We start from the raw sequence: 10,592 nt of genomic DNA, 5'->3' as shown, positions 1-10,592 counted from the left end.
TAAAATCTAATGGGTGACACAGTTAACTTTGTAGATGAAAAGGTGAGTTCAGATAAGAATTTGGAAAATGTCAAGCAGCAGAAGGAAGAAAGGGTGACCCCTAGATTTCTGGCTTGAGCCACTGAATACCAGTATACTATAGTAGAACTATTCTGAGATAAAGAAGACAGGATAAGGACTGACTTTGGGAGATGGGAATGTATATAGACAGGATTAAATTATTTCAGAAATATAAGTTCAGAATGCCTGAGAAATTTCCAAGAGGTCATAGTCACTGGGAATTTTTATATAAAGAGCACCCCCCAAAAATGTTGTAATTAAAGATAAAAATCTGGGAGTCAACAACAAAAGGCTGATAAGAGCTATGTTTATGTTTCCTTGTAAAACCAAGGAAAGGGGGTTAACAGAAAAAAGTAGAAAAATATGCCAGGATAAAACCTTGGGAGACAACCCCATTGATGGTGTACGTAGAGAGGAAGAGGAGCAAGTGAAGACCAGGGTAAAGGAAGTCAGCAAGGCAGGAGGCAAGCCAGGAGAGGCCTATCTTGGAAGTTTGAGATAAATTCAGTTTCTTGATGTGAATATTGCTTCATCTTAGTGAATAGGTTATAAAAGAAGAAGTAAAGGGATGTATGAATACCACCTTTCTTGAAGACTGAACATTTGTTAAACTTTTCAACAGTAGGATGTCATTGGTGGTGTTTGCAAAGACCATTTCTACAGGTTGGTGAGGGGTGAATATCAGATGATATTGAGTTGAATAGTAAAGGGTGAAGAATTGGACGCAAGAAGTGTTGATAAGGCACTCTTATCTATAGTGCCTCATCCCTTGCAGTTCCTGAAGGACAAAATAAGGACAGTGAAGTAAAGTAACATTTTCACAGCATTTACACTCTTGGCCTATATTACTTTTACTATGTTTGTACATGCCTTTTCACCCATTTAAAATGGAAAGTTCCTTTAGGTGAGAATATGTTCCTAGACCATTTTTGTGTCATGCCATAGTTTGCACCTACCATGAATTCAGTAAGAATCTATTGGCCAAATGAATGAACGAACAAAAGATTCAAAAGAGCCAAAACCACCTATGTTCCAAATTCCAGGCACCATAGTTAGTCCCATTGCTTGTAAAAAACGTTTAGCCTTTGATTTGAAACAATGAAGAGATGCTGACTCTTTGCTTATTTTATGATCTCTGAATGACAGTTCTGGCAGACACAGCAGAGGAGCTATTAGGATGCACAGAAGACTCTGGCACCCAGCTGAAGGATGTAAATGGCCACTCTGACAGCCCTCCTCCAAAAGAAGCTTTCAAACCTTAATGTGCTTTACCATTTATCTGTTGTCTTACAAGAAACATTTTTTCCTGTGTAACTACTCACAGACACTTATTTAATTTTATTACTGCTCTCTGCAGTGCTGTCAGACAAATCTCCTTTGAGCCCATTTTGATTAATAAGGTTTGCATTTCTTGTTTGATTTCCAAGCCCATCTCAAAGCAAGACTCCAGTACAGACCTCCAGATCTTCTCCACATTGGCTCTGTTTTGAAAGGAAGGTTCTGATTGATATAGGTGTCAGAGAACGCCCTGCTGAGAATAAATACAAAAGCAACAGCATGTGCATGGAGCCACAGAAAGAAAGAAAACAACCCACAACAATGTGCCAGAGCTTAGTTTTTAAGAAGAAAGGTCCAAAGGAAAACTGTCGACTAAAATATCCAATGCAAGATTTCATAATCCTTTCAACTTTCATGCCAGGTATGTCTTCCTATACAGGCCAGAAATTTTTTGGTGCCAAGGGGAGAAAGGGGGAGAGAAAAGGAATACATAAAAAAACAGAATAGAAATGTTTCCTGTTAAATTTACAACCCAAACATTTGCCTCCTGGACAGACTTAATTTCTCCAGGTGGTAATATATTTAATATTTGCATAAAGTTGGCTTGAATTCTTCAAATCCCTTATGATTATTTGGGTAGAGATAGGGTGGGCAAGCTTGCATTTCTCCAGGTTGGTTGAGCTTTATTCTCCATCTCCATTTCAAGTGACAGTTTTTATGTTTGCAGGCCCCACTGCCCCACTGAATCTTACTCAATGCCTTTATCTTCCAAATTTCTCCAACTCAAGGCTATGTGTATTTCAGATTGTACTTAAGAATTTAGAGAGGAGGGGGCCGGGCACTGTGGCTCATGCCTGTAATCCCAGCACTTTGGGAGGCTGAGGTGGGTGGATCACGAGGTCAGGAGATAGAGACCACCCTGGCTGACACGGTGAAAGCCCGTCTCTACTAAAAATATTTTAAAAAATTAGCCAGGCGTGGTGGCAGGTGGCTGTAGTCCCAGCTACTCAGGAGGCTGAGGCAGGAGAATGGCATGAACCCAGGAGGCAGAGGTTGCAGTGAGCCGAGATTGCATCATACCACTGCACTCCACCTTGAGCGACAGAGCGAGACCCCGTCTCAAAAAAAAAAAAAAAAAAAAAAAAAAAAAAAACTTAGGAGGTGAGAGGTAAATTTATTTAGCTACATAGGAGGACAAACAACCTAACATTGACTATGGGACACACCTGGCCTTCAAAGTTAAGTAGGGTATTTGTGATGGTAATTTTCCTACTACAATCATGGACTTGCATCATGTTGCTGTCCCTTTTTCTCCTCAGACCAAGCTCACTTAGCCGTATCTCCCACCCAAGGTTTCAGATAATTCCTGCTGCAGAATAGTTGGGCTAGCCCTTCATTAGAAACCATCTGCTCATGCCCAAGGGGCCATATCCTGATATTTATGACTGAATAGGGCTCCTCTCTCCCTAGGCAGGATTCTGTTTCAGAACTTAAAGTAATGTATTTTTTTTCCTCCTTCTGCTACTTCAAAATAAAGCTCGTATGCTTTGGACTCGACATAAAAGAAATTGTGTGTTTCTACCGTTGCGTTCTCATGAAAAAAAAAAAGTGAAGGTATCAAGATTTATTTTACTTCTTTTGTTTTTGTCCCCAAAGGATTTATCCTAATATTTCCCACATTGGTCTGTTCTATCCTTCAGCAGTCCTTGCAAAATAGGGAAGGCAAATTAGGAACCCTTAGTTGGAGCACTTGCTCACCTCTCACCAGTTCCATCTCGGTACACTACTTCCAAAAGATTTTTTATAACCTCCTCTAAGCAAGCTCTCTCTCTTATTCCAGGATATTCAAAACATACACATTCTTGAGTTCAGCGTCCATTATATCCTCCATGACTTCTTGTCCTATATTCCTTTCCTTTTTCACACCCCCTCTGCTAAGAGATACCCATTTGTTCCACCTCGTTTGCTGAGTGAATTATTTCCCACAGTTACCAAACAAACAAAAAGTCAACTCCCATGCAACGTACTTCACTGGGGGAAAAAGAGAAACAAGAAAAAACAGATAAATTATATAATATGATGAAAAAAGCTACGGAGAAAATTTAAAACACAGAGAAATAGAGTGGGTTGCAATTTTGAGTAAAGTTGTGAGAGAAGGGCTCACTGACAAGTTGATATGTGAGCAAATATTGGTGTATTGGTTTACTATTGCTGTTTTAACAAATTCTCACACACTTAGTGACTTCAAGCCACACAAAATTATTCTCTTCTAGTTCTGGATATCAGAAGTCTGAAACCAGTTTCCCTAGGAGAAAATCAAGGTGTAGGCAGGACTGTACTTGGTTCTGGAGGCCCTGGGGGAGAATCCATTTTCTTACCTTTTCCAGTTTCTAGAGCTGCGCTCCTTGGCTCAGGACACTCCTCCATCTCCAGGGCCAGCAATGTGGCACGGTGCTTCAGTAGTCACATCACCTTCCTCTACAGCATATCTCCCTCTGCCTTCCTTGAAAAAGCACGCTAATCATTGCAATTAGAGCACACCTGAGTAATCCAGGCTACTTTCTTCATCTTAAAACCCTTAACTTAATCACATCTGAAAAATCCCCTTTGCCTTATAAAGTATTATTCACAGGTTCTGGGGATTAGAACCTGGATGCCTTTGGAGGCCAAAATGGAGACTACCGCAGATAGTAAAAGAGCAAGCCATGCAACAGTGTGTAGGGGAGATAGTTCCATGCCCATATAATGGCAACTACAGAAGTTTTGAGGATACACTTCAAAAGCGCCCATAGATGGGCACTTGATCAGAAGGAAAGCCAGTGTGGCCTGAGTAAAGCAAGTAAACAGAAAGTACGTGAGGTCAGAGAGACAAGGAAGAGGGTCTAGGGACAGAGTACATCAGCCAATGAGCTATAGCTTAGAAATCCATTGTAAAGATTTTGGCTTTTATTCGGAGGTGAGAGACAGCTAATGTGAAGAATCCATTCAGGTGAATGCATTAGAAATGCTAAAATGCTTGATTTCTTTTCCAGACATTGCTACAGTCTTACCACAGTGTTATAATTCTTTTTGACTTTTCTCTTTACTCCGCCCAAAGCACATATACCCAGTGAAAAACTTCTCTATTCTAAATCATCAGAATTTGCAGAGCCAAGGTTTCTAGAATGTCTGTTTTTTCTTTCCCCCAAATGTATTTTTAAAAGCCTTCTAACATAGACGTTAAGGGTTACACCACTGCTCCAAGTAATGTACCATTCTTATTACAGCATTATTAAATCTGCGGATTTTATTGTGCACTGCATTCTTTTTTGAGCATTTGATATACAAATATCCTAGGCAATTAAAAAGGGGAGTGAGAAAAGGAGTGGCTGTCTACATGAGGCTATTCAAATAGGTGCCCTCAAAGTCTTCAAGCACAGTGGGCATCACCTGGATAAGTGCAGGCAGTTTTTGATGTTCGGATGGAAAACTCACCTGCCACTGACAAGAACCGTTAATGAGGCTCTTCAGCACTGGGAACACGATGAGCTTGCTCAAATGGCACTGATGGCCTGCAAGCCTTGGCTTGTATCCCACACTGCTCCGTGGCACGGGAGACTGATAGTGTTCAGCAGTCTCCTGGTGATGACTATTGTGTCTGATGTGGGCTTGGAGAGCCAATTTGGAAGTCAAAAACTAAAGCTTGTCTCTTTCTCTCTGCATTCCTGCCACAACAGTTTAATTCTCCAGGCAATGTGCATGCTTCTGACTACCTAGGGAAAGGATCATACACGAGGAAGTGTGGGTTCAGTATTTCAATGTATTATCTCACTGCACCGAGCGTCTACATTTGCAGTTGCATTCATTCCCCAGTAAGCAGTGGACAACTAAAATGCCCAAACAAGTGAGAAGAGGCAATTTTGATGACTGGAGAGTTGCTACATAGGTTTGTGTACTTAAGGTGGCCATTAAAACCTCAGGAAGGAGTAAAAAATCTGTAGTTTAAATTTCACAATTATTTGGTTACTTCTGCTCCCTTGTCCCCAACCATGTTTCCTGCCCCATTACATGCCCTTTGGAGGTGTAGATGAATTAACAAAGAAATGCAGATGAATTTTGCTACAGGGCCTAATCCTCAGGATCTTTTTAAGAGAGTTTCCTAGGTCTAATAAATATTCAAAACAACCAGGTTGAGCAAATCCTAAACCACTTATCTGATTAGTAATCTTAGCTTAACCCCAAGTCTCCAACAAAGCTTTTGTTACCACTTGACAGGAAGGTATTTGTATTTTGGACCGAAAGGGAGGGCATTGAATAGAAGTGAAAAAAATCTAGATACAGGGAGAGCAAGAAGATTTAGAAGTGGTTTGTCCAGTTGGTACAGATATCAACCAGCATAGGAGCTACTGGCCTGCAATTTCTGCCTATTTCTTGGTGCCCTGAAGATCAGGTGTTTTGCAGTTTTAATGTGTACATGAATCACTCAATACTAATTCCACATTTTTCAGCACCTCCTATGGTGCTAGCCTCTTTTCTATGTTGAGAACTCGCATTCTAGTGTTTATGGACCATGTACAATGACACTATTATGCAGATCCTTCTCTTCCTCACTAACATGTAGGATGGCAGCTTAGTGTGCAGAGAACATTTTTTGCTTAGATTGAACAATTCTAGATTCTATTCTTAAACTTCCCTTTAAGCAAGTCTATTCAATGCATGGTATCTCAATGTCCTCATGTGCACAACATGCATGTTAGTTCAGCGTTAACTTGCTCTTAAATGCATTTTGTATTGACTTCTTGCTCTTCCCTGTTTCATTTCTCTACTGCCCTATTGGCGCTTCTTAAGATCACCCCCCCACTCCAAATAAACTACTTAGACACAAGTTCTTATCTCAGGGTTGTCTTTCTCAAGGAACACAGCCTATGATAGATATCTAGCTCTATACATGATTTATAAAACTCTGCCCACTGACTAAAGGTGAGACTATGAGTTACAAAAACTGGAGGATATTGGGTAATTGGCTCTAATAATTTTAGAGTTCAAATAACAAAGTTCACAATAAATAAATGGAAGAGTTAGAAGTAAAACCCAAGATTGGTGAATATGACAATATATAATTTTTATTTTAGTTTGCATACACACAAAAACCCACTAAGTCTAAAGGAATTTAACAAACTGGAAGAATTTATCAAAACACATACCACAAATGACTAAAATCCCTAGCACATATAAAACTCTTAAAATTGAGAGAGAAAAATAAAAACCAAAGGAAAATGTCAAAAATATTTGAACAAACCATTCTCATAAAAATGATACAAAAATTATTTTCAAACAGGAAAAACTGTTCAAAGTCACTTGTAATTAGAGAATTGCAAATAAGACAATACTAAGGTACCATTTTTCACCGATCAGACTGGAAAAAAAATTAGAAACACAACAGAACATTCTGTCATTGGGGCCCTGGGGGAAAAAATTACTCTCACGCATTACTGGTAGGAATGCAAAGTGGTACAACCCTTCTAGAGGGATATTTAGCAACACCTAACAAACTACATATGTAATTACCTTTCAACCCAACAATCACAGTTTTTGGAATTCACCCTGAAGACACGTCCAATGATGCAGAAATACATATGCAAATATGCATCATTCATTGATACATTACTTGCAAAATTTCAAAGTATTGAAACAAGCTAAATATTTACACATATGAAAATGGTTGAATAAACTAGCATTTCCACTCAATGGTGTACTGTGCAGCTATAACAAAAGAATGAAGATGATCTCTATAAACTGATAAGGATTTTTAGGATATACTACTAAATTAAAAAAACAAGTATCTACAGTATGCTACCTTCATGCAAGAAAGGGATAAAAGACAATTCACATGCATCTATTAATAGTATTTCACCAATGTTAATTTCCAGATTTTGATAGTTGCAACACAGTTAAGGATTATAAATAAGGGCTGTACGAAAATTATCTGTGCTATTTTTGTAAATTTTCAGTAGGTCTAAAATTATTTCAACTTTAAAAACCTTTTTAAAAAAGGGTGAAGTCTGATTTATCTCATCAGTAATGCCCTAAAGAATCTAATTGTTTCTTCTTGCCACCCAAAATTTCAAAACTACACTATGATCTACTTTTGGAACTACACTATGACCTACCCTTTAGAAGGCCCAGTTATTCAGCTTTTTCTTTGAGTGTGTGTACAGCCATCCCACAGTTATTCAATATATCTTTTTTTTCAAGACAAATGAAGTTAATTTTTATTTGAATGTAATCAAAGAAACATAATTGACACTGGCTAGCTTAAAGGATAGACTTTTCAATTCTATTTCAAGGTTTAATGTTTCCGTGTTCAAGTGGAAAATTTGTTGTAAGAAAAAATTTAAAATGGGTCCAATGTGATCTTTTTTCTTTCTTTTAATACAAAATGCTGACATCTTATTGTCTTAAGAATTGAAATATGCTTTGAAATTTAGGGAAATTTTTAATTTAAAATACAAGGATGTAGACAGAAGAAGCGATAATAGAAGAAAACTTTCCTATTTGGTAATAATTGTTACTGCTTTCAATTTTAATGTGCTATGACTCCACTTCTTGTCTCACTCTGCCTGGAAGTCCCTTTTACACCACTCTATCTGCATCTCAGAATGACATCAAACAGAGTGGGAAGTGTTTACTCACCAGCATGTATCTATTTTCTCATTTTAAATCTTCAACACCAACTTTCTAATTCATTTCTCTCTTCATTCCTTTCTCTGCAGCTTTTGTCATCTATTGTGGCCCCTCACACGTTTCTATCTTCACCAGGGATTTAACAGTATTAATTAAAAAAAAAAAAAAAGAAAAGAAAAAAAAAGCTAAACTACCTTCACCTTAAATGAGCCTCCAACAAACATTACCTGATTCGATACGGGCCAATGTTAGAATGCAAATATGTTTGGTGATAGTTAGGACTATATTAGGAACTAGGAAAAACTGTGAAGACCAAAATTTGTACAGGTTTCTTACCCTCCTGGTCGGTTTTCTTTTCCCCAACAGACAATCATTTACTTATTCATTTAAAAATAATAAAATTGTAAAAACATGGGCAGGCAAATGTGAATACATTCAGTAGGATCTCATACTTTGAGCAAAAGACAGGCACATAAACAAATACAGTATTATATAAGGGCTATAATGTTTGCATGAACCTTCTTTGATTTAAACAACAAAAACCACAGTAATCCAAATAAAGTATGAGATTTAATTTAAAAACATCAGCAACAACAAATATGATTGTATAGATCCAACAACCATTAGTTTAAACCCTTCATGAATCCAGTTGCAAGCAATTGATCTCTTCCCACAACACTAATTTTTTACCTCTCCTGTGCTAAGTATAGCAGTGCTTTGTCCAAACTTTATCTTCAAATATTTGTTTCCTTTTATATTTTAGTGGTATTTTGAGAGTGCTATATAGCATAGCCTTCACTCTCAAAATATATATATATATCTCTTGTATCTCGAGTATTTATATATGTGTATATATATAAATATCAAATATATATATAAAAATACTAGAGATACATATCTATATCCCTGTGTGTGTATATATATATATGTATATTGCCTTGTATCTCTAGTATTTATACATATGTGTGTGTGTGTGTGTGTGTGTGTATATATATATATATATATATATACATATATATATACCATGATTGCAAGTTTCCTGGGGCCTCCCCAGCATTGCTGAACTGTGAGTCAATTAAACCTCTTTCTTTTATAAATTATCCAGTCTCAGGTATGTCTTTATTAGCAAAGTGAGAATGGACTAATACAATTGGTTTTGAGGGATTTAATCAAATAAAAATATTGGGTTTTTATGTTAAATGTCCTGTTTCCTCTGATAACATGTCATTCTGTGGTAAATTTCAGAGGAACAAGGGTAGTTATTTATTCATTCATTCATTCATTTTTACTCAGTGACACTCATGGAGTGCTATAAGATGAGGCTGGAGGTAGAGGTAGTACATGTTAGTCTTGTCCTAATCTTAAAAGTGTAGTAAAAGCTATTGATGGCTAATTGAGGATATAATGGGAATTAGATTTATATTTCCAAAGGATCAACTTGGTGAGTCAATTTGTAAAGTGGCCACTGATAGAGCAGATATTATTATAGTAGTCTAAGCGGACATAGAGAGAAGTGAGTGAATTCAAGAGAAATCTAAAAGATAAAATTGGCAGGCCTCACTAATGGACAAAACTTGGAGACAGAAAGAAGCAGGAATGAAAAATGAGTCCCACATTACTATCTTGAGCAACTATATTGCTGGAGGTTTCTTTCACAGAGATATGGAAATGGGAGAAATGCACCAGACTTAGGAAGGTTAATCATGAAGTTGAGTTACCACTGAAATATGGACGAGAAACTGTCAATAGCATTTAATACTATTCATCACATTTTCCTTAGAATAATTTCTTCTTTTGGCATCTACCTGGTATTCTTTATACCTTTTTATATTCTCTTACTAAATATATTTTGCCTATTTTGAACTCTAAATCTTGGAGTCCCCAGGGCTTTGTCCTTGGACTCCATCTCTTTTCTATCTCACTCATTCTCTCTATGAGCTCATCCAGTGGCATGGCTTCACACACCATCTACCCTGTGAAAACTCCCACATTTTGATCTAAATCTTAAATGTTGTGTTATATAGAAGCTGGTATCTATCTCACACAAAAATTTTATGCTCTCTTTGATGCACAAGGTCTCTCACTACCTAGCTACTTCCCACACACAAATGCGCCCAGGATTGCTTTATGACTCACAAAACAGGCTGGGCCTTGAACTCACAGATAAACTTTAAAGAGGCTATTTGAAAGAAAGCATTAGTTTGAAAAGTAGTCAAATATACAACTGAAAATATGGGGTAAAGCATAATATTTTTTCAGATCAAAAAAGGATGTGAGATTGAACATTATTTAAATGATCAAGATGAACAAGTGATTAAAACAGAGGATCTTTCTGTTATGTGTGATTGCTTTAATGTGTAAAACCGGTTATATGAAACTCTGTTGAATAAAGAGGGCCTCATTTCATAATCTCCAGATGAGACCACTCTCCAGAACTTCGGACACATACATGTAACCTCCACATCTCCACTTCAATTTCAAGTAAGCATCTTAAAATTAATATGTCAAACTTACACTCCTAATAGTACCCACCAGCCAACTGCTTAGCTGTAGTGTCATCGTTTCACATTTCATCTTTACATGGCCAAAAC

Source organism: Homo sapiens, chromosome 12 (assembly GCF_000001405.40).
Source record: "Homo sapiens chromosome 12, GRCh38.p14 Primary Assembly".
Lineage (NCBI taxonomy): Eukaryota > Metazoa > Chordata > Mammalia > Primates > Hominidae > Homo > Homo sapiens.
Note: the sequence above shows the minus strand (reverse complement) of the source record.